The sequence below is a fragment of the Homo sapiens genome, chromosome 12 (assembly GCF_000001405.40).
Source record: "Homo sapiens chromosome 12, GRCh38.p14 Primary Assembly".
Classification (NCBI taxonomy): domain Eukaryota; kingdom Metazoa; phylum Chordata; class Mammalia; order Primates; family Hominidae; genus Homo; species Homo sapiens.
This window is the reverse complement of record NC_000012.12, coordinates 118,930,563-118,956,416: the sequence shown is the minus strand read 5'-3', so window position 1 is coordinate 118,956,416 and position 25,854 is coordinate 118,930,563. Positions and strand designations below refer to the sequence as shown.

The window sequence follows — 25,854 nt, the reverse complement described above, 5'->3', positions numbered from 1 at the left end:
CCGTCCCGTTGACCTCCAAGGACCCTCCTGTCTTTAGAATCCACATCAGGCCACTCTCTCTAAATGAGAACTGCGGGGCCAGTGCCCCAAGCAAATTCTGGGAACTCTGCCCTTGGCTTGGCCTCAGAATTACATTTCTGTAAAGACAGTTCCTTCAACCTCTGCAGCTCCATTGACCATGATTCCGGGCATTGTGAGGTCATTCCTCAACCCTACCTCCCTCTGGCCCTCCCCTCTTTGTCCTATCCTAGATGGACACATCTGTCACTTTTAAGTCCCTATTGCTCATCTGTCACGGTCCACAACCAAGAAGAGACAAGGGAAGGGGCCAGATGAATGTTCTGCCACCAAGAGGAAGACTTTGACATTTAAAAAATTCTCCATCTCTCTCCAAGTGTCCCATCCCCAACTCAGAAATAATAATAATGGTAATAATAATAACTTTATTATTGTCATTGAGAGCTCATTGCGTGACAGGCGCTACGCTAAGCACTTTACATACGTTATGTATCAAATCCTCAGAAAAATCCATGAAGAGGACATTAATATGTTGCAGATGAAGACACTGAGGCTTGGAGAACTTAAATTGCCCAAAGAGCTTCTCACACCTGGTAAGTGGCAGAGGGATTGGAAAGCCAATGTTCCTGATTCCAAATTTCTACGCTTAACCCGGCTTCACGCTGCTTCCGCTCAACCACCTTTAAAGTCTCCTAGCTGTCCACCAAATGAGTTCAAAACTATCTCACAGACTCTCAAGACCCTTGAAAGCCTGGTCTCCATCTGCTTCTGCAATCTCATCTCCCAGTGGTGCCCTCCTAGAATCCTCCATGGCAGGTATTTTGGAGTCCCCTTTCTTTAAGAAGTCTTTCACCTCTAAACAGTCTCCCACGTTGTTCCTCACTCTGTTTTTCTGTCCCAAATATACTCACGTTACAAGCCCCAGTTCAAGTTCCAGCTTTCTCAGTGTACCAGGCCCAATTAGTTCACCCTAATCTTAATCTCATAACACTTGGGGTTTGGTGAACCATGGAGTGTCCCCCACCCATGACCCTAAGTTGCCAATAATCATCCCTCATGTGTATTTTCTGGCTTCTCATCCTGACAGACACCCATGGGGTGGGGCCACGTCATGGCGCTGTGTCTCAAATCACCTTACTGGAAACACAGTAAATGCCTAGTATTTTATGACTGATCTCCTTCTTGCCACTTCCTTTCTCTTCTTTCTTCTTACTGTAACTGCACTAGACCAATCTGAGTCAACTTTTATGTAACAAAGTTGTAGAGTCATTTTTTTTTTTTTAGTTGCCATGGACTCCCAGGTTGAAGGTCACATAACCTTAGCATGCCCAGATAAACCAAGTATGCAACCACACGGGGAACCTAAGTGCTCAGACCAAGGAGCAGGAACTGAATTAAGACACGGACACCACATGGCAGAATCCAAGATCCAATCAGATCGAGCTCTGGAATCACCCCATGGTGGAAGCCAGTCAGATCATTCCTCTTGGCATCACCTCATTGCAAGATCCAATCAGATCACGTCTCATTACCCTATCCTTATAAAACCGGACAGACCTCAGCTCAGGAAGGCACTGCTTTGGGAGCTATCACCCCTATTTTCCTTAATTACTTCAAGTAATAAAATCCCCTTGCTAAATCTTCTTTGATTGTGGTCATTGGGCCATCACCCAACAAGTGCTAGAGCCCACCCATTGTGTGGATAACACTATTTCTTCTTCCTTGTCCCCTCCTCATCCTCTCCGTTTGGTATTTCCTTTCCTTCTTCTTTCTCCTTTCAGTTACCCTCTGCCTTGCTAAGCAAGGCAGGCAGCTGCCAACGTGGCTCCCAGTGATCCCTGCCTCCTGATATTTGCAACCTTGTGCAATCCTTTCCCATTGATGCAGGGTGAACCTAGTGACTTGCTTCTAATGAACAGGGTACGACAAAGGTGATGTGCATGTGACTTCCACGATGAGGTTACAAGAAACATGACTCTTTTGTTTAGCACTGTCTTGGCAGCTACTCTTTCTTGTCCTTTCTCTTGCTCAGTCTGTTGAAGGCAGCTTCCACATTGTAAAATGCTCTATGGAGAGACCCATATCACAAAGAATCAAGGAAGGCTTCTAGCCAACAATTCAACTGAGAATTGAGGTCTCAGTCCAGCAACTCTGCTAGGCACTGTGGCCTGCCAGCAACCACATGAGAGAGTCTGTGAAGTGATCTTTCCCAGTTGAGTCTTATGAGAGACCCAGAACCAAAGGACTCAGCTAAACCATACCCAGACTTTCAACCCACAGAATGTGAGATCATGAGTATGTTGTCTTAGAGGATGATTTGTTAACCAGAAATAGATAACTAATACATTAAGTATCCATTTACTCACACATTTATTGAGCATTTAACATGTTGTCCAAGTGAAATGAGGGAACACTTGGGTGAACCAGGCATGGTTCTTTAGTTTTGAAAAGCTCTAACTAGCCTAGTTGGAAATTGGGGAAAGAGACAAGTTGTGATATTATTGTAAAATCATATTTTAAGAACTCTAGGCCGGGCACAGTGGTTCACGCCTGTAATCCCAACACTCTGGGAGGCCAAGGTGGGTGGATCACCTGAAGTCAGGAGTTCAAGACCAGCCTGGCCAACATGGTGAAACCCTGTCTCTACTAAAAATACAAAAATTAGCCAGGTGTGGTGGTGCATGCCTGTAATCCTAGCTACTCGGGAGGCTGAGGCAGGAGAATTGCACCAACCTAGGAGGCAGAGGTTGCAGTGAGCCAAGATCGTGCCACTGCCCTCCAGCCTGGGCGACAGAATAAGACACCATCTCAAATAAAAAACAAAACAATACAAAACAAAAAACCCAAAAACAAAACAAAACAAAACACTAATAGGGAAAAGAAGAAAGACCTAGTAGAGTTTTTAAAAGCTCTAGCCTAGTTGGGAGTTGGGAAGAGAGGCAAGTTACCAGCTCATCATAATATCTAATAGGAAAAGGAAGAAGGACCTAGCAGAGATGTGTACAAGCAGCACCTTATTCTGCTTGGGAGAGTCTAAGGAGGCTCCAAAAAGGTGAGTGTTAAACAAGGTCTTAAAGGACAAGTGGGAGGTCATCAAACTGGGGGAGCTGGCGGGGGTAGGGAAGAACAGTGTAGGTGAGAGGAACACCATAGGCGAAAACAGAGCAGCACAAAGAGGCTTGTCATAATTGGGCAAACAATGGAAAGTTTAACCTTCCTTATTCTGAGTCCTCTGCAACAATAACAAAAAAATGCATTCATTCCACGTTTGCTCTGCTAAGTGTTAACACTCAGTAGCTCACTAAATTCTTATAAATGGGAAAAATGCCCATTTATAGGCAAAGAAATTGAGGCCCAAAGAGTAGAAGTGACTTGCTCAAGGTCACATAGCAAGTCACTGGCTAAGCTTGAATTTGAATGTTGATATGTCTGACTTTAGAGCTGCCCTCTCAACCATCCAATACCTGTATTATGTCTGTATTGTACATCCAATGTCTGTATTATGTCTGTAACCATTGTTCAGGTCAGCAACCTCCTTCAAAGAATAACAATGCGGTACAAAGGGCTGAAAGGGAAGGGCTTCTAGTTGCCACTGAATAGGACAAGTCTCCAAATGCCTATGGACCCACACATTTCTCTCATGGTCTGATACGAAAACAAAAAATCAAAAAAGAGGCTAAGCCAGTCAGATTCTCTGTCTGTCATGAGGCAGCGGTGGAGTGGAGCGGACAAGGGCACAAGACCAGGTTCAAATCCTGGCTCTTCCACCTACTAGCTGAGTGACCTTAGACAAGATATTTAATATCTCTGAGCCTCAGTTTTCCCATCAGTAAAATGGAGAGATAATAGCACCTAACTCATAGAGTCAGTGTGATAATCCATGAAAAGCAGATGCAGTAAGAAGGTGATTGAGTCAGGACCTCAGTATAAAGTCCACTCACGTAAAAATCTAGTAATGAGGAACTAAAAGAGTAAGGGGGAGACAGCGAGAGAGAGAGAGAGAGAGAGAGAGAGAGAGACTACTCCAGGCAGCCAGGCAGCCCCATATATTTTCCTCAAATTCTGATGACTTCACAATTTCTATTTTCTCATATTCAATATACCATTTTCTTGAAACAGTCTGATGTTGTTGGGGGAGGGGATGGAACAGGAGGGGGAACATTTATTCCCCATTCCTCATGTTCCTTTATAGAGGGACCTCCAATAGAGTGACATTCCTGACCTCTTGCCCCACTCGATTGGCGCTTCTGGAAGAAGGAACTGAAAGCACTCATCTAAGTCGTCACTCTCTTGGGATCCACTTGCCTGCAGAAAATGTGCATTCTGAGGTTAGAGGAGCAGGCATTGTCCTACTGGTTTGGGTGAAGTTGGAGTGAGGGATAAATTCAATTCAGGAGAGTATTCGCAAGCTGTGTCCTCCAGCAGAGCTTTTTTTTTTATCAGTAATAAAGGTGACACTTTGATCTCCATCTGACTGAGTCTTTCGTGTCTCTTATAATTAGTTTTGTACTACCCTGAAAAGGTTTACTTCTCTCTGTATGTTGCTCACTTCAATTCTTCATTAAGTCTTCTTGTTACAATTCCAGATGGCTATCCTAAGGAAACTTTCTGCAAAGATAGCTCTTCCTCTGGCTTTCTTTTCCCCTAATATTCTGGCTCCCCACCCACCCAGGTCCTGAATCATAGGGCAATTTGGCAGATTCACTTTATATCCATGCCTTACCCTCTGCCAACCTTGCAGATGCCCCAGCTCATCCACGTCTTTTCTAATTACCTCTTGGCTGGTAACTATTCTTGCAATTTCTTCATGTCTGGTAAATGTTCCAATTTCTGCACTTTGTCTTTCTCGTTGACTACTTAAAAAAATCTTGGTAACTCTGGCATTTTTGAATCATCATTAATTTCAAGCTTGTCTTCTTTTATTAGCTGTTCTACATTCCCACCAAGAACTCTTTCCTCTTTGACGCATTTGAGAGCCTTCATTTAATCTTCTTTCCCATCACTGAGCTAGGACTCACGTGGACTAACTTACTACACTGATGTCCTTGCAGAAGCAGCAGTAGACAGAGCATGAGGGTGGGAGTTCTCAAGGGTAGAAAGCTGGCACTGGGCACCCTCAAAAATCATTTCCAAGGGTTTGCTGCTCATCTGTCTGTTCTGAAATGCTTTCCAAGAATTACTCTTCTGAACTAATGAGAAACAGGCAAAAGTCTTCAGGACACTAATGATGTCCATATTTACTATGAGAGGAAGGTGGACTGATCAACTAGCTTTCTCCCATTAATATATATGAGATTATTTCCTTTTCTCTTTCCAGGTGGGCTACCTTGTCATTAGCAGATATTTCCCTGGGAGGGTAGGGCATGCAGAGGTGTTTTTGTTTGTTTGTTTGTTTGTTTTTGAGGCAGAGTCTCACTCTGTCACCCAGGCTGGAGTGCACTGGCATGATCTCACCTCACTGCAACCTCCGCCTCCCGGGTTCAAGCAATTCTGCTGCCTCAGCCTCCTGAGTAGCTGGGATTATAGGTGCGTGCCACCACGCCCAGCTAATTTTTGTATTTTTAGTAGAGATGGGGTTTCACCATATTGGCCAGGCTGGTCTTGAACTCCTGACCTCGTGATCCACCTGCCTCAGCCTCCTACAGTGCTGGAATTACAGGCATTAGCCACGATGCCCAGCCTGCAGAGGTATTTTATGGGAGATAAAAGACAGAGAAAAGGGATGGGTCCAGAGTTTGATTCTTAATAGGGCTGTCTGTCCAGTAAGGCATTCTGTGATGATGAAAATGTGTTAGATTTGTGCTGCCTGACATAGTAGCCACAAAACACATAAAATGTGGCTAGTGAGATTAGGAAATGGGACGTTATCTTTTATTTAATCTCAATTAATTTAAATATAAATAGCCACATGTCACTGATGGCTACTATACCGGAAAATGCAGCTCTACAAGATATTATTTTGAGAGTATCTGGGTCTTCTCCTTTTACAGAAGCCATAGCTCTTTGTGAGTCAGCAGATAACATACAAGAAGACAAAGATTAATCTGACTCTCAGAATCTAGGGCCAATGGATGGATGTCATGGGTTGTAGCTCCATGCCCATGGGAGCTGCACTCTAGTGGTTGTTTCAAGCAGCGGTCACAGATTGGTAGTTTTCAAGCTAAATTCCATCTCTAGGCATGTTTGACTTACACAATTAAAAAATTAATTAGTCGCTGACATTTAAAAGAGAAAAAAATCTTTATGTAAGAGATTTTGCATAAAGATTTGGATTTCCAGCTAATCTTGAAAAATCAGAAGACTGCTCCCCACCCCCCGCACTTGGCAATATTCAGATGGAGATGGGTAGCAGAAGCCTCCTTTACCCAGGGTAGGAATTCTTCAGTTGGCCACAGTCCCCACCACTGCTTGTCATCTAAGCATCTCACGTAGGCATTTGGATTTATTTGTCTTTGTGTCACAGTTATAGGCATAAGCTTTGCTCAGCATCAGACAACCTGAGTTTAAATCCCATTTCTGCCTTGTAACAAGCTGTATGACGTTGAGCAAGTGACTTCACCTTTCAGAACCTCAGCCTCATTAAAAGTAAAGTGGGGGCAGGTGCGGTGTCTCATGCCTGTAATCCCACCAGTTTGGGAGGCTGAGGCGGGTGGATCACCTGAGGCCAGGAGTTCTAGACCAGCCTGGCCAACATGGTGAAACCCTATCTCTACTAAGAATACAAAACATTAGCTGGGCATGGTGGTGCACACCTGTAATCCTAGCTACTTGGGAGGCTGAGGCAGGAGAATCACTTGAACCTGGGAGGCGGAGGTTGCAGTGAGCCAAGTTTGTGTCACTGCACTCCAGCCTGGGCAACAGAGCGAGACTCAATCTCAAAAAACAAAACAAAACAACAACAACAACAACAACAACAACAAAAGAGAAGTGGGGAAGGTCATAGTTGTACTTCAAAGGATTGTCCTAAGGATTCAATGTAACAATACTTGTAAGACTCTTGATATAGAGGCAGGCCTATGCTGAGTGCTCAATATATGGTAGTTGTTGGAAGGAGAAGGAGGAGATGAAGGAAGAGGAGACAGAAAAAGAAGAGACAGAGGAAGAGGAGAAAGAAGGGAAATAAGAGCTCCTAGTCAGTTTCCAAACATGTCTAAGATAACAAAGAAGAAAAGGTGCTATTTCCCCAGTGAAAGATTCCCTAACCTCTTCCGAACGTAATACCACAACCATCCACATTGTAAACCCATGGGTAGGGGGTGGGGAAGAGAGGGAATGTGTGAATAAAAGCAAAGAAATAAATCAGCTGGTCCCTGGGTCCTTTGTCCTTGGATCTGCAACCTTTGCCCTGAGAACCTGGTCTCCTGTCCACTTCTGTTATAAGGTAACAGCTCCCACACTTGAGACCTTGTAACAGAAACACCAAAGGATGTGGACTTTCTCAAAATCTGTGGGGGCTCAACTCCCTTTCCCACTCCACTGTTAGTAATCAGAAAAGGTCTCCATGTGACACAGTTTGTACATGTCTATGAGAGGAAATCAAATCCTTCTAAGACAAATAGAGGGAAAGTTACCAGGTGGCTGTTTGCAAGAAATAAAGACAGAAGACGACTAAATTCTCAAGCAGTTATGACCTCAGGTTCCCCAGTGTTTTACACAGTTTTCAGAGTTGATTAGAGAACCATGTAATTTAGAATATTCTGGGGAAGGACTATCAAGGGTCCTGCGCCTAGATACTTAGATTTAGTCCATTTTGGTAGAAACATATTTCAAATTTGAATGTAAGATGGTGTTATACAAGCACGGGTCCTTGCCCATTGGTGAGATCTTGGAGGGAGGCCTCCAACTACGGTGAACCATCACACTCCAGATTTATCCATACATACTCCCACCCATCCACCCATCTGCCTACCTGTCATCTATCCATCATCGATCCACCCATCAATTCATCCATGCAAATGACACCTGTCCTTCCCCCATCCATTCTTCCGTCTTCTATTCTTTCCTTCATTCATTAATTAAACCTACTTATCCAACTGTGTGCACTTGGCCCTCTGTGAAGTTCTAGGACTACGAAAGTGAACAAAACAGATATTGTTACAGGATGATTTATATACTCTATTCCCCTAACTCCAATTTAAAAGCCCTAACCGACAGTACCTCAGAATGTAACTATGTTTGGAGACAGGGTCTTTAAAGAGAAATTAAGTTAAAGTTGGGGTCATTAGGGTGGGCCTTAATTCATAATGACTGGTGTCCTTATAAGAAGAGAAGATTAGGACACAGACAGAGACATCAGATACATTCAAGTGCAGAGAGACAACCATGGGAGCACACAGTGAGAAGATGGCTGTCTCCAGCCAAGGAGTAAAATACTTGGATGGGTGAATAGATGGGTGGATGAGGGGATAGATGGATGGATCGATGATGGATAGATGATAGGTAGACAGATGAGTGGATGAGCGGGTGTATGTATGGGTAGATCTGGAGTGTTACGGTTCACCATAGTCGGAGGCCTTCCTCCAAGATCTCATCACTGGACAGGGACCCATGTTTGGATAACATCATCTTACATTCAAATTTGAAACATGTTTCTACCAAAGATATCTGCTTTTTTTCTCTCTCTCTTTAGCACTTACCACCATCTTACAAGGTAAGTATTTTACTTCTGAGAAAGGTCTCAGAAGAAATGAAACTGCTGTTACCTTGATCTCAGACTTCCAGCCTCCAAAACTGTGAGAAAATAGATTTGTGTTGTTTAAGTCACCCAATCTGTGATATTCTGTTATGGCAGCCCTAACAAATGAATTCAGACACCATCACAGAAACAGGTGTTCACAATTAAGAGGCAGAGAAAGACTATTAAACAGACAATTACAATACAAACACATCTCTTTACCCTGCCTGAAAGCCCACTGATAAAAATACATCTATTTGAATTAATCATTGCTCTTTCATTAATCCCATGAATATTTATTTATCACCTACTATGTTTCTGGTGCTACACTAGGCATGGGAGATAAAATGACAGATAAGGTAGATATATCCATTGACTTTAGAAGTTCACAGACTCTTCTACACTTCCCTACAGACTTAACACTGATTCTACTCAGACTATAATAAGGACATACAGTGTAATGTGGTAGATAGGATCGTGGACTTTGGAATTAGACAGACTGGAGTTTGGGATCAAATTCTGCTACTAATAGGCTGTGTGACCTCAGCAAGCTTAACCAGTCTGAGCCTCAGTTTATCTCTGAGACAGCCATAACAATGCCCAGGTAAGACTGTTATGAGAATTAAAAATGATCATGAACATAAATTAAGAACTCAGTAGAAGTTTGCCACGGTTATCACTGTAGCCTCTGAGGCACAGCCAATCAGAGGATAATAAATATCACAAATATGGAGTGCTTTCTTGATATCAGAGCCTCTAAGTAATTTGCATGTGTTATCTTTTTTAAATGAAGGAAGCCTCTTCCCTACCTCCCCAGCCTTTCCTAGTTTCATTTTCTGTTTTCTCTTTTGTCTACTTAGTTTTTTAATAATTCTCAGGAAAGTACTTAAGCCCCAAGATCATGTGAAGGAGAGGCTACAATCCTGTCGGGAAAGAACTTGAGTCTTTCTTCCAGTCATAGCTCCCCCATCTCTCCATTTTGGACGTCGGCCCAGGCAAACCCAGAAGACGTGTCTGGAGGGAAGGGTGCCGCAAGACTCTCCATTATAGCTGCCGTCATGGACAGCACATTTGATTACAGGTCCCCATCAAGGTGATGCTGTTGTTTCTGCATATGTCATCTCTGCCAGCTTTTGTAGTTAAATTTCCTCTAGCACCGTAGGGAGGTAAGATCTGCTTCTCTTCCCAGAGGCTGGAGACGGGAGACAGCAAAGAGTTTGTTATCATGGAAACCACGTCTCCCCCTGGGCCCCAAGGGGCACTTCTGGAAATGGTTCGGAATTTGATCACAGTCTTCAAGCGTGGTTAAAAGCTGTTATTTCCTCGTGTCTGATAAATGGTTGTCGAGAAGCTGACAGTTCTGGTTTCGCTGGGGAAGATTGGACTGGGGGAGGACGTGGGTCAGGCAAATGGGAACAGATAACAGGATGGGGGTGGCAGATCCTCGGACCCCTGCACAGCACCCCAGACTGACAGGATGGTTTGGAGATGGTCCCATCTTGGCTCACTGTCAAGAGTCAGAAAGTCAAAGGAACATTGAGGTTAGGTGGAGCATCGAAAATGACGTACCCTTACCTCACAAGTGGCTCAGCTTTAAAGAAAGAAATAGAAAAACTTGGATAACAGTCACCAACTCTGAGGGCCTTGGAAAAAAATTCTCCAAAAACATTTTGAGGGATTGCAAACTCAAATACCTGCAGGAATCAAAAGGAAAATGCCATAGAGTGAAGTTGAAATGAGCTTGGCGAGGCTTTGGGGAAACAGGAGAGCACACACCTCATCTAAAGGGGGTGGCAGGTACCAGCTCCAGCCCTGGCCAATTCCCCACTTCTCTAGGAAAAGCCCCAAATCTGGAATTCTAGATAAAAATCTCCCAACATTTAAATGTAAGCTAAGAATTGAAACATTTTTTAATCACATCGAAGGCCAAATAAAACATGTCTGAAGGTCAAATCCAGTTTATTCATTTCAGTTTGCAAACTATGCTATGAATGCTGAAATGAAATCTGAAATTCAAGAAGCAGAGGGGAACTTTATCATACCTCAGTAACCATAACAAAAGACACAATAAAAATAGCTATGATTTATTCAGTCTTCACTGTGGTTATCCTCTTCCATTGGGTCCTCACCACAACCCCTGGGGTGTGGGAATTTTTACCCCAAGGTACAGATGAGGAAACTGAGGCTTGCAGAGGTTAAGACACTTGTCTGAGGTTAAGACACTTGTCTGAGGCCACACTTTGCTAAACTGAAGTCTCTGCAGATGGAGTAATCATTTCTCTATGTATCTGCAGCACAGAAGGCTCCAGACACCTCTTCCTCCTTCCAAATTTTGCCTTGCTATATGCATTAGGCTTGTTCTAAAGTAATGGCTTTTAACCAGAGCAGAGGGCATTTCTGACCTCCTTCCAGGGGTATTTGGCAATGTCTGAAGACAGTTTTGGTTGTCATAACTGGTGGAGGCAGAGGGTGCTTCTGGCATTGAATGGGTAAAGGTCAGGGATGCTGCTTGGCATTCTACAGTATGCAGGACAGCCCCATACACCAGAGAAATCTCCAGCCCAAAATGTCAATAACACCAAGGTAGATAAACAGTTGTCAGAAAGAATTAGGGGAGGGAGAGCTGAGGGTTGGGGGTTACTAAGGAGATAAGGAGACAGAGGATACTGCAGACAATACCTGTAAAAGTAGCTGTGTCATCAGACAGCCTGTATGATTTGCTAAGTGTTCTCAACCATACCATCTCACTAGATCTTCATGCCAGTCCCACAGCACACCTTCCTATTGCCAGTCCACAGATGAGGATACTGAGGTCCAGAGAAAGAGACACTTTCCCCCAGGCTTCATAAACAGCATTGCACAAATACTTACTGAGTATCTGGTGTATCTTGGTTCTGGTTCAGGGATCTGTCCCTTCTGCTAACACTTATTAAGTATATACTTACTTGCCAGGCACATCACTAAGAATCTTACATTCATCATCTCATTCAATCTTTCCAACAACCCAGTGGAATAGGTACTCTCTGCATCTCCGTTATTATAGTTGGAGAACTGAGATTCAGAGAAGCGAAGTCATTTGACCAGTCACTAAAAGTTGAACCTAGGCATTTATGACTTTGACTCCTGTGATCTTAACCTCTTCACTGTCCTGGAGCCTCCCACAGTGGTAATCCAATGAGGAAACATGTATTGAGTTCCTCATCTAGAGAAAATTAGAGACACACAAAACCAATTAAGGGCCAGGTTCAGAGCCTCATGCCTGTAATCCCAGCACCTTGGGAGGCTGAGGTGGGAGGACTGCTTGAGCAAAGAAGTTAAGACCAGCCTGGGCAACATAGCAAGACCCTGTCTCTCCAAAAAAAAAAAAATTACAAAACAAATTAGCTGGGTATTGTGGCACATGCTTGTAGTCCTAGCTACTTGGGAGGCTAAAGTGGGAGGATCACTTGAGCCTGGGGGGTGGAGGCTGCGGTGAGCTATGATCATAACACTGCACTCCAGCCTGGGTGACAGAGCAAGACCCTGACTCTTAAAAAAAAAAAGAGAGAGAGAGAGAAAGAGCCATTCTGGAATGCATGCTGACTTCAAGGAGCTTATGTTCAAATGAAACATTAAGCACATTTACCACTAGCTATAAAACAAAATGAAAAGTGATCAGGTATTAAAAGTCCGATAAATCACTGTAAGACCAGAGTCTGCAAACTGTGACCTGCAGGCCAAACCCAGCAGGCTGCCTGTTTTTTTTTGTTTTGTTTTGGATTTTTTGTTTGTTTGTTTGTTTGTTTTCTGAGATGGAGTCTCACTCTGCCACCCAGGCTGGAGTGCAGTAGTGTGATCCCAACTTGCTGCCTCCTCTGCCTCCCGGGTTCAAGCGATTCTCCTGCCTCAGCCTCCAGAGTAGCTGGGATTACAGGCATGCACCACCATGCCCAGCTAATTTTTGTATTTTTAGTAGAGACGGGGTTTCACCATGGTGGCCAGGCTGGTCTCGAATTCCTAACCTCAGGTGATCCACCCACCTCGGCCTCCCAAAGTGCTAGGATTACAGGTGTGAGCCAATGCACCCAGCCTGTGGCTGCTTTTGAGCCAAGTAGTTGCTACAAAGACCATCTGGCCCATAAAGCCAAAAATGTTTAATATGTGACCCTTTACAGAAAAAGTTTGCTGGCTCTTGCTGTAGGAGAAAAAAAGAGGTGATCAATATTGAAAATTACCCACCTTCCATGCATCTCTCTAGATTGGAATGATGACCCCAGGAGATGACAATATAAACAATGGAAATAACAAATTCCAAGCACTGGGTGTTGACTATGTGTGAGGCATAGGGCTAATCCTCTCGAATTCCCCCAACAAACTCATCAGGTAGATGTTGTTAACCCCCTTTTATACCTGATGAACGTGAGGCTCAGAGAGATTAAGTGGCAAACCCAAGTTCAGTTACCTAGCAAGACACAGAAGCAGGGTTCAAAGGTGGGCATGTGCAGCTCTGAAGCTCTTAGCCACCTGTGTGTGAGAGCACACAGCACAAGTCCTGGCTCCTGATAGGTCTTCCCCAAATAAAATTTTCTTCTTCTCTTTCTTGATCAGGGTTCCTACTCCTGTAAATCAGTAAGCAGCACCTGCAGGGCCCAGAAAGGCTAGAAAACTCTTTTCAGAACGAGCCTGCCTGTTTCAGACAACACCTAGCAAGTCCCAAACTTCAGCAGGTTGCGAAGCTGCTAACTCAGCCTCACCTCAGGAAGCTGGTGCCTCTTCCAGACGGACTCAAATGCCTTCCCACCCCCAGTGGTCCAGCAGTTGATATTCACACAGCACTTTACAATCTCCGTTGGTTAATCCATTGTGTTCCCTGGTCACTTCCCATTAAGCCAAGTGGAGCCTCCTTTGCACTTGTTCTGAATTCAAGTGTCATTTTTCCCAGCAAGAGATTGCAGGTGGAAAGTACAAGCACCAAGCTTGGAAGGCAAGGGAGGGAGACTGGGACAGCCCCGAGTCAGCTCCCAGCCCCTTGCCTGGACCCATAATGATACTGCCACATGCAACCCCTTCTCACACAGAAGTTACACAAAAATAATCCCAGAATCTCAGGGGGTTTTAAAAGCCGAGAATATCTGGCCTAGCTGGTGCAGGAAAATATTTGAGAACAGCAGTTGGACCTGTAAATATCTTTTGTGGTGTTCCCTGGCTAGCTAATTATACCAGCTGTGCAGCCAAGGCCCACCTGGGATGTTTTTGAGAGAATTAGCTCATTGCAGACTGCTGCTCTTATGTCAGCTGTTCCTGGTCAAGGAGCCCAGAGCCCCAGCTCTTTCTCCCCAGCTTGATCGCAGACCATAAAGGCCAATTGCCTCCCAAGGTGTTCAGTGACTGATAAATCGCTGCCCTAGCAATGGCGAAATGGTTACCTGGCCTCCCTTTGGCTGCAAAACCAGGAGCAAGAGAAAAGGGCACTGTGTATTTTAGTAGAAAGGATTTGGGTTTCAATTCTCCAGCTCTGGTTCTCGGCTATTTGATACTGAGCAAGTGACTTAGCATCTCTGAGCCTTGATTTCTTCTTCCAAAAGACATGTTGTCATCTGGGGCTGTCTTCAAGATGTAATTAGATAATACAACAATATGTTTTTCAAATTGTAGTAAAATACACGTAACATAAAATTATCATCTTAACCATTTTTAAGTGTACAGTTTAGGGTATTAAGTACATTCACATTGTGCAACCATCACTACTGTCTATCTCCAGGAAGCTTTTCAGCTTGCAAAACTGAAACTCTATACCCATTAAATACTAACAATAATATTTTTGCTTAGTGCCTGGAGCATTGTGTTAGTCCATTTTGCATTGCTATAAAGAAGTACCTAAGACTAGGTAAATTATAAAAGAAAGAGGTTTATTTGGCCCACAGTTCTGCAGACTGTACAAGAAGCATGGTGCCAGAAGCCACTCCTGGTGAGGGCCTCAGGAAGCTTCCAATCATGGTGGAAGGCGAAGGGGAAGTAGGTGTGTCACATGGGGAGAGAGGGAGCAACAGAGAGACAAGGGAGGTGCCACACTCTTTTAAATAACCACATCTTGCTTGAACTCAGAGAAAGAACTCACTCATTACCACAAGTAGGGTACCAAGCCATTCATGAGGGATCCACCCCCATGACTCAAACACCTCCCACCAGACCTCACCTCTAACATTGGAGGTCACATTTCAACACGAGATTTGGAGGGGACAAAACATCCAAACCATATGAAATATGTTGAGATTCAGACCTAATTCCCATTACCACAAACACTGTAAGATCTGAATCATGACAACAGCTGAGTTTTTCCTGCAGGTCTGAATGTTTCTCTGCTCTAGGGCATAGAACTCTTTTGAGGGAGAAATCTGGTATTTGCTAAAGCCTATTCTCTTAGACTGTGAGAAGTCACTTCACTTCTCTGGACTTCACCAAGATGCTCTGAAGACATATAAAATAAGTTCAAAGCAACCATCTAGGTGGTGAAAGAGCACAGTACTAGGGGTCATACAGACCTGGGTTTGTGACCCACTCTGCCATTTGTCAGCTATGTGACTTTAGCCAAGTCATTTATCTCAGATCCTAGCATAGATGAAACATTCCATGGATATTTGTTAAATGGATAAATGAATGAATGAGTAGGTGAATGGATTATCTCTCACTTATCAATAAAATCATACCTGTTCCTGGAATGTTCTATCAAATAACAGAATTATTTGCACAGTGCTTTACAGTTTTGAAAATATCTGGGATGCAGTAGAGCTGAGTGGTTCAGGGCTTCCATTTACATATTTTCAAATAGACAAATCTGGATTTGAATCCCAGCTCTGCCAATACTATGATCTTGGACAAGTTACATAATCCTTCTAAACCTTAGTTACTCCATTTTTAAAATATGAGAATAATAGACTGTGCTAGCCAGGCTCAAAGATAGCCTCCATTAGTTCCTGCTCCTGACAGTTCAGTTCTTATGTAGTCTTCTTTGAAAACGAATAGGGCTGGACTACGCAGCCGATAGGATGTTGCTACCATGATGGAGTGTGACTTCTGAGATTTCCATAAGGGACACTGCAGCCTTTGCTTTACTCTCTCTTGGATCACTTAGTCTGGGGGAAGCCAGCCACTATGTCATGAGCATATTCAAGAAGGCCTATGGAGAGGTCCACATGGCAAGGAACCGAGGCCTCCTGCCAACAGCCAGCACCAACTTGGCAGCCATGACACATCTTGGAAGTGGATCCTCCAGCCCCAGTCAAACCTTCAGATGATGGCAACCTAATGAGACAGCCTGAGCTAGAATCACTCAGTGAAATCACTCCTGAATTCCTGACCAACAGAAACCATATATGAGGCACTGCATATTTATTGCAATTTTTAAGTTGCTAAATTTTGGTTACTTAGTTACTCAGCAATAAATACTTGGTAGACACACCTCATATGGCCACTGTGAAGTTCGAATGCATGTGAAGGGTCTGTCTTGTATGATGCCTGGCCCATAGTAACAGCTCAGGAACTATCACCTATTATTCTTATTTTGAGCCACAAAAATAAGATCATTTGCTTTTTCCTCTGATTCAAGAACTCAGGAAATATCTACAAAAATATTCCCTGGAAGAGGCATCAAAAACATCTGCGTATATAAATAATAACACAGATGATGCAGGTCCAAGAATAAAACTTTTTTATTACCCACATTAGATGGAGGGGAGATGAAGCAAATAAAAGTCTAAAAGACTAAATGTTCTTTTCAGAATTGCAAGGATTTAGGTAAACCAATGGCAGGAGCTGTGGAACCCAAATTAAACACAAACTATAAAAACTAGAACATTCAGAGCACTGATAGGCACACTATTCTTGTTCCTTACACTTTCATAGTCTGTAAAGTACTTATAGAATTACATCTTTCAATCATCAGAATAACCCCATAGAATGGTTATTCTTTTTTTCTAATAAATCTTGTTATAGCAGGATGGTTATTCTTGAGTCCATTTTATGGATGGACCAACTGAGGCTCAGAGAGAATGTAAGCCTACAAACTTCCCAGGTATATATAGTCATCAGATGCTTACTGATGGGTTTTAGACCAAGGCTTCCAGTCCTCTTGACTTGAACTGAGCTCAGAGCTCATTCCATGATGCCAAACTTCAGTCTCTTTCTCTCTCTCAACCTCATTTTCTTCAAATACAGGGTTTGGGAGAAAACAGGGACCACACATTCAGGAGCTTAATGCACCAGGAAGTTTATTTAAGCAAGAGAAGCAAGCTAAGTGCAATCCTCTTGATAAAGTTGAGGCTGTTCTCTCTTGGGTAGGAAATGAGTATACAGAGTGATTTTTTTTTTAACTATAAGGAAAACAATAGGACACATGCAACAACACATAACAGATGACACTGAGCCTCAGAATCGGGGAGGCAGTAGGCACTGGTGAGGACTCTGGAAAATTGTAGAGTATATTCTTTCTTGAGAGGGAATTTTCTGCTTACCTCTAGCCAGATGTGACCATGCAGGAACGTAAGCCTGCAAAGCTGCCAGATCACCTAATTTTAAAGAGAAGCTCAAGTCTGTATTTTATATAAATTCTCTCCAAGTTTAAAAACCATTTAAAGAATAGTAAAATTGAAAAAAAAAAGAAAAAAAAACATGGTATAACTCAAACACACACATCTACAGGTCAAATTCGGCCCATGAGCCACTGTTCAGAGACCCTGGACTAGCAAATTTATAAGACTTCTTCCTGCTCTAAGACTGGGGTGTCTTTATCAGTACTCAGCATGCACTGTTTGATTACACAGCATACTGGGCAGCCTTATAAATATTCCAAATTGGTTTTCATGTGCAGATGTGAACTGTGTCCTCAAATAGATCCTAGACTTGCTGAGGGCAGGGACCAGGTCCCTGGTTTGCTGGGTCTCTGTTTCTGACTCTCGGAATGAGGGTTCATCTGTGACTGGAGCAGAGTGTCAGGCTGAGTGATTCTCCCTGAGCAGTGGCCCCGGATGGCTGTGAGACCCACATCATTTGGGGGTATGAGCTCTGGATCTTGGGAGGGCAGCTTCCATCACTCCTGACGTTCCAGGGAAGGGAGGCAAGGGAATCAAGGTTAAGTACTTCCACTAACATCTTGTCTGCCAGATGTATAAATTAGGTCTCTGTTTCCCTGGGGAATCCTGCCTGCTGCTGGGAAGATGTGGCTGCTTTTGCAGAGGAAAGCGACTTCCTTCAAATCATCCCAAATCAACAGGCAGGTTTCTCTGGGTGTTCTCTCCTTGAGGTCCCCAGTCCATCACATCTGTGGCTTTAGATGACATAGTACAAACTCACATGAGCTCTGAGGACCTCCCTTCTTGGGTTCAAATCCCATTCACGAATTGGCGCAACTGAGATTAGAAGTGAAGCCCTTGTGTCTTATTCAAAATGCTCTTGATCACTCCTGTGCTTATAATGATGAAGAATCTGTTTTTATTTATTTTTTATTTTAATTAATTGATTAATTTTTGAGACAGAGTCTTGCTCTGTCACCCAGGCTGGAGTGCAGTGGTGAGATCTCGGCTCACTACAACCTCCGCCTCTCAGGTTCAAGCAATTCTCCTGCATCAGCCTCCCAAGTAACTGGGACTACAGGTGTGTGCCACCACACCCAGCTAATTTTTGTAGTTGTAGTAGAGATGGGGTTTCACCTTGATGGCCCAGGCTTCTCTTGAACTCCTGGCCTCAAGTGATCTGCTCACCTTGGCCTCTCAAAGTGCTGGGATTACAGGTGTGAGCCACTTTGCCCAGCCGAAAATCTGTTTTTAAAGATACAATGCATGTTCTTTGCCCTCAGGAAGTTATAATTTAATGGAGGAGACAAAATAAAAAAGTTTAAACAAAGGTTTAGTATAGATATGAGAAATTATGGTCCACTGCAGTAAATGACTATTAGCAAAACAGTTGTAAAAAAAAAGTATTATAAGAGTGAAAAGGAGGAGGAAAAGAGTGCAATAGATTCATGCAGGAGGGTTAAGACCTTAAACATCATTGAAGCTGTTTACAGGTCATGGGGCTTTTTGCAGGGAATAGAGGGACATCTCTGAAATTTGTTATGTTTGTCCCCATGGAAGAGTACAAGGTAGGACAACGGTTAGAAGCACAGACTTTGGAGTCAGACTCAGATATAATCCTGATTTTGCCAGAGAATCCCTAGTTGCAAGTGAAAGACACCAAACAGTTGATGTAAGCAGAAAGAGGCTTTACTGGTTCACAGAACAGTGAGTAACTCAGAGAACAGACCATAGGAATTAGGGAAGTTCTCACGACATGAGAAACTGAAGGTTCCTAGGATTGTCTGACTCTATCCATCTTATTTCAGCTTTTCTCTGCCCAGCCTCACACTTTCCTGCTGCAGAAAGGCTTTCTCCACATGGCAGGGCATATGCCACCTGAAAGCTCTGGATAACATCCCTTGAGTTCCATGACCTTAGCCAATAGGCTATTTCTCCTGCAGCTCCAAGTAAAAAGTCCTAGGGAAAAGCTCGATTGACTTTTCTTGGTCACATGACTCTCATGGGTACTTTTCAGTGACCAGAGGAGTGTGGTCCTATGATTGGACAGGTTTGGATCATCAGTAGTGTTCTGTGACTGACAGTTTCATCAGAACCACAGTAGTAGAGAGGATGGCAAGAGAGACTTCCACTACCCCAAGATGGAGAGGATATTTATCAATGCTTTGTTTTGGAAAAAGCTCTTAGAAATAATCTAGCCTAGTGTTGCCCACACCTGGATGAGTTTGTTAAAGTTCAGATTCCCAGTCATCACCCAAAGTCAGGGACTAGAGCCCAGAGAAAATATATTTTTAACCAGCTTTGCAGATGATGCCAGTGATCAGCTAGGTATGGGAATCACTGGCCTATCCCAATCCTGTCATTTTACCAAGGAAAAACTGAGGCCCACAGAGGAAAGCAATTCACCCCAAGTCACATACACTGGAAGAGGCAGAAGAGTAAGACTAGAGTTCACATACTTTGCAGTCCCTGTTGTATCAGTCTGTTCTCACCCTGCTAATAAAGTCATACCCAAGATTTGGTAACTTATAAAGAAAAGAGGTTTAATTGACTCACAGTTCCACATGGTAGGGGAGGCTTCACAATCATGGCGGAAGGCAAATGAAGAGCAAAGTCACGTCTTACATGGCAACAGGCAAGAGAACTTGTGCAGGGGAACTTCCACACATAAAACCATCAGCTCTCATGAGATGTATTCACTACCATGAGAACAGTATGAGGGAAATTGTCCCCATGATTCAATTATCTCCACTTGGCCCCTGACCTTGACATGAGGGGATTATTACAACTCAAGGTGAGACTTGGGTGGGGACACAGCAAAACCATATCACCTATCCATTCCTCTTATAGCTCATTGCTTCCCCATGCTGTTTCAGTGTCTCTCCAGCCAGAGAAAGGGGTGTGGGAGAGGAAGGAGAACCCTATGAGTCATTCTATTCCTGACCTTTCTGCAACTGGATTTGACTCGCAAGCATGAACCGTCCCAACACATACACATACCATTAGACACTTCTCCGGTAGCTGTGCCCCCTGCCCCCACAACTATAATCTGGCACACAGAAGCCAAGGTGGGGAAGGAGCGAGGAGGGGATTGTAGACAATTTGGTGTGATATAATGGACTGGAGATAAAGGCAATTCAGGCTGGGGAAACTGAGGAGCAAAGGCCTGGAGGCAAAAACAGGTAGGAAAAAGGCAAAGAATGGAAGTATCAGTGTCTTGGGATGGGAAGGAGAATGAAGAGGATATTGGAACTTAATAAGGCTGGGGTATGATTGAAAAGGATTTAATGACACATTCCCAGATAAGGAATCTAGCAAGAAGGGATTTTCCACCTTTTGAGGTTATGTTTATGCCCATATAAACCCAATGAAATTTCTTTTAAAATAGAGGTATTGTTTAATAGCTGTGCCTATGTACGTTCAATGGTCTGCCACATAAAAAATATAAATCATTTTAGTTTTTAACAGTTCTATATAATGATCAAATTCCATCATTAGAATTTTGAAAATGTTTTAAAAGTGGTATTATAGAGCCAACCCAAAATGTTTTCTTCGTAACACACGCCCTGTGATATGCACTTTCTAGAAAGGGTTCAGTACTGGAAAAAAATAATAATAAAGTCAGGAAATTCTGCCATCCCTAGTGTCCCTCCTAGAAAATCTCAATGATGATTAGCATATTAAAGGATCTGATAAGCCCTAAAGGAAAGATGCCTACTGAACTTTGTTGAATTCAGCGTCTCAAACTTTGATCATGCAAATCCTCTCTTGATTAATCTTATAAATATTGTGCTATAATGGAGTCACTTATACTGTCCCTTCCTGGGCTTGAGGGGAGGGCTTTGCATGTGCCCAGTGTATTCCTACTAGGTAAATCAGACCAGAAAAAAAGGGCATGGTGTCACTACAGAATCGCTACTTTATTTTAAAAGCAATTTCACTTAATACCTTACCTACTTCCCCAAGGCGCAGGAATATATGGCTTCATATACAGATATGCATTTGATAATTTGGAGGTACACACAAAAATGTAATAGAACACTGTACAAGAAAAGGAGGGGGAAAACTGTTGGATTAATTTTGCAAAAAGAAGATTCACTCCCCTGTTTATCTGGCTTCCAGCATCTGGTGTTTGCCTGCAGCATTTTCCTCAATGGGTCACACCTGTCTTTTCTTTGCTGGTATCCCCAGTGTGGAATCCTAACATGTACCACGGACATCTGTTGTTTGGCCTGACCTGTATTCATTCCCCTTCTTCTGATGAGAACATTGGTAATCCACCCCCTTTCCTATCCTCAGGCTATGATTCTGTTAGGGTTGACACCCCTTTGCTTTCCAAGGATGAATGCAAGACCCAGGTGTGGCCAGTCATCATATTCTCACTGGCCATCATGATTGATTCAGAGATGGGTATGTGACCCAGGCTGGTCCAGTGAGATTCGACTCTGGAATTTTACTGGGACCATCAATAAAGATGATATGGTTAGGTTTTGTGTCCCCACCCAAGTCTCATTTTGGATTGTAATCCCCATAATCCCCATGTGTCTAGGGAGAGACTTGGAGGGAGGTGATTGGATCATGCAGTGGTTTCCCCCAATGTTGTTCTCATGATAGGGAGTGAGTTCTCACAAGATCTGATGGTTTTGTAAGTGTCTGGCATTTCCTCTGCTTGCACTTCTCCTTCCTGCCACCTTGTGAAGAAGGCACCTTGCTTCCCCTTTGCCTCCCACCATGTTTATAAGTTTCCTGAGGCCTCCCCAGCTATGCCAAACTGTGAGTCAATTCAATCTCTTTTCTTTATAAATTACCCAGTCTCAGACAGTTCTTTATAGTAGTGTGAAAGTGGATAATACACAATATTTATTCTCTTTCTCTTGCAATTGGTTGGCTGGAGTGACATATACTTAGGGCAACATACGTCCTTGGAGAGCCCACCTGAGAATGAAGACAACAGAGAGCAAAACAGGCTGAAAGATGGAGAGAAAGACTGAGTGCAGATGATTTCGTTTGTACGGGTATATTCAGCTGTTTCTGAAGTATTTTCATCTACATTTTGTATTTATATCAGCGAATACAGTTTTATCTCCTCAAGCTAGGTTTCACTTATTAAAAAAACTCCAAGCTTCTGTTAAGGCATGTATGTAGTTTGTTGTTGTTGTTAGAGACAGGGTTGTGCTCTGTCACCCAGGCTGGAGAGTAGTGGCATGATCATGGCTTACTGCAACTTTGACCTCCTAAGCTCAAGTGATCCTCCTGCCTCAACCTCCCAAGTAGCTGAGGCTACAGGTGCACACCACCAGGCCTGGCTAATTATTATCTTTTTATTTTTTGTAGAGATGGAGTCTCTCTATGTTGTCAAGGCTGCTCTTGAAGTCATGGCCTCAAGCGATCCTCCTGCCTTGGCCTCCCAAACTGCTAGGATTACAGACATGAGCCACCACACCCAGCCCATATATATAACTTATGAGGTCAGAATTATCCAGCAAAATTTTACTGTGCAATTATTATGTGCCACACTCTGAGCTATAAATGAGGGCTGGCAGTACAAATACAAATAAAACATGTTCTTACCCTTAAGTCATTGACCATCTAGTGAAATAGAGGCAAACACAAAAGCAGATAATCTAATACAACATGATGCATGCTCTAATTGAGTTACATACTAAGTCTCAAGGGAGAAAAAAAGAAACAGAAATCAGTGCAACACAAGGAAACTTTTGGAGGTATTGCCTATTACCTTGATGGTGCTGATGGTTTCATGGGCATATGCATATGTCCAAATTCATCAAGTTGTGTATCAAATATGTGCATGTTTTTATATATTAATTATATCTCAATAAAGCTGTTTTTTTTAAAGATGAGTCTACCTTGAATGGAAATAGCTGGCATCTATTATCCTTCTCATGTTTAGCCATTGGCTTGAGCTGCCCCTCAAAGGACAGAACCTTGATTCAAATGCTGAAGGAGTTAACAGTGGAAGGCTGTTAGCTAACCACTTCTTACAACTGGGCAGCCAGTGCTTTCTCTGAAGGAGATCTGAGCAATGTATCTCTGTGTCTGCCACAACTCCCAAACGAAAAGAGGTGTTTTACTTTCTTTTTTTCTTCCTGACCATATAAATAATCCATGTCCATTGTAAAAATGAGAAAGTAGAAAAGTAAATGGAAAAAGGTAAACGCCACCTAAAACGGCTAGTATTTTGGAAAATATTCTCCCATATATTTTTCTACACATATCTATATCTATATTTTATGTAAATGGCATCGTATTATGATGTATTTTTTACAGCTGACTTTAAAAATCTTATCTTTTTTACTCTTTTTAAAGATTCTTAACACCTCAGCACTCCTCCCTGCCCTTCCCCCAGATAACTGTTATCAATAATGTAGTGTGTGACCACCTTATATCTTACAGACACTTAAGAGTTTTAAAAGTGTTTTCACAGGCCAGACGCAGTAGCTCATGCCTGCAGCCCTAGCACTTTGGGAGGCTGAGGCAGGCGGATCGCTTGAGGTCAGGACTTCAAGACCACCCTGGCCAACATGGTGAAACCTCATCTCCACTAAAAAAAAAACAAAACAAAAAATACAATAATTAGCCACGTGTGGTGGCATGTGCCTGTAGTCCCAGCTACCCAGGAAGCTGAGGCAGGAGGATCACTGGAGGCTGGGAGGCAGAGGCTGCAATGAGCCAAGATTGTGCCACTGCACTCCAGCCTGGGTGACAGAGCGAAACTCTGTCTCAAAAAAAAAAAAAAAAAAATGCTTTCACATAACACATTTTTTATCACTCTGACAAGTGCCTTCTCAGATGGCAAATGCAAACTCTGTTTCTCCATTTCCAGAGGAGAAATCTACAGCCCAGAGACATTAGGTGATTTCTCAGTAAAGTCACTCAACTTGCAGGTGACAGAGCCAGGATTCCAAGTCCTAGACTTCTCATCCAGGGTCCTTCCCTTTAAATGCTGTATCCCTAATACACACATGGCCTTCCTTTCTGCTTGTCTAGGTGCATCCAGCTCCTCACTGTGGCTGATAGTGACTGGTAGTATCAGGTAGCGACCTTCCCACACCAGGAAGCAGTCAAACTAAGCTCTGACAGTCATTCATCAGAGTCAGGGTTGAGTAGATTCTTGTGCTGCAAGTGGGGGCTTTTGCTGCAATGCCGTAGAGCAATGTTAGCAAATCAGCATCTATCGACAGATAAGAAATCCAGCTATGTCAGTTCCTGTGTTCATACCACAACCTCACCCTCCAATAGCAGTGTTCAGACAGTAGCCAGGTTTGTTGTTGTTTCAAAATTTCTATTTTGTTCTGCATCTCTATAGAACTGCAAACACTGGGTCTATTGAAAGAGCACATAGAAAAATCACAATATAATGTTAATAGCCCCTATTTATAATCCACACAAGCTGCTTTGGCCAGTGAGTAGTGGAAAATGTGCATGTCAAAATGTGAGGAATTTCTTTGACTAGGTTCCTTGGTGGAAATGTACGTGTGCCAATTAAGCAAGTTATCGGAGTTGACCAATGCATGTAGTTAGATGACTTATTTTCAAGCTCGTGGGCATGAACATGCAATGACAAAGATCATGGGTTTCAATATCAGCCAGACCTGAGTTCGAATACTAGTCCCTTCACGTCCTGATTTTATGACATTGGGTAAGTCATTTAACTTTTCTGACCTGTTTGCTCCATGGGTAAAATATAATAATGCCAGCCTTACAGGTGAGGACTAAATGAGATAATTTGTATAAATTTCTTAGCACTGTGTCTGGCACATAGTAAGTGCTTGACAAATATTAGTTGTTTTAATTACTAGAGTAGCCATTAATTAGCAGTAGTAATTACTAATACTACTATTACTTCATTACTAGCATTATAAACTCGAGCATTACAAATAATTCTGGGGACAGAGGATTTCCCCTAACTCAGGATATCAGCTCTCCCAATTAAGCTGATTTAAGTTATGAATCTACACCTTGTGAACACTAGTTAACTTCGTTTTACATTATTAAGTGTATGCTCTCTTAATCTAAAATATCCAGTGTTTTAGCTGATATTTCACAAAATGTAAAAATAGTAGGCCTGCAGATATTAATACTTGTTACTGGAAAAAAGGAATTAGTGATCAAACAAATCTGGGAGATACATGGTTAAATAAAAACAAGGTGACATCAGTTTCCTTCCTGCAGGACTTGACAGAGCCTTTTATATTCCCAAAGGACTTGTGCCTCTCTAAGAAGCAGATGTAATACTGTATTAATCATGACATTTTCAGTTGCAAATGGTAGAAACCCAGATGAATTCAGCTTAAGCAAAAAGAGTATTTATTTGTTCATGTAACTCTAAGTCCTAGGATTGCACATACTTTAGGTTAGCTGAATCCAGCTAACTCTTCCTTCAACTTCCCTTCAATGTCCTCCTGTTCTCTCTTTTCTCTCTCCTCTTCTATTAAAACAGCTTTTCTCTGTCTGGCTTCATTCTTGGCTTTTGCAGTTGACAGCAATATTGTTCCATAGAAATCTCAAGCTTGCAATATATGATACAGAGAAAGAAAATATTTTCCCCAATTTACCCATCTTGAGTCATGGACTCATGTCTGATTCAATCTCTGT

General features: G+C 42.8%; 1 long non-coding RNA gene across 3 annotated transcripts; it reads left to right on the top strand.

Moving 5' to 3' along the window:
- Positions 1-228: 228 nt before the first annotated feature.
- LOC105370020 (uncharacterized) lies at positions 229-10,646 on the top strand. Of its 3 annotated transcripts, XR_945427.3 has the most exons (4): positions 229-428; positions 523-611; positions 749-834; positions 1,303-1,661. It is a non-coding gene; the product is annotated as an uncharacterized LOC105370020 (long non-coding RNA). The 3 variants fall into 3 exon arrangements; XR_945428.4 differs by lacking the exons at positions 749-834; positions 1,303-1,661 and adding an exon at positions 9,553-10,646; XR_945426.3 differs by lacking the exon at positions 749-834.
- The last annotated feature ends 15,208 nt before the right edge of the window (positions 10,647-25,854 follow it).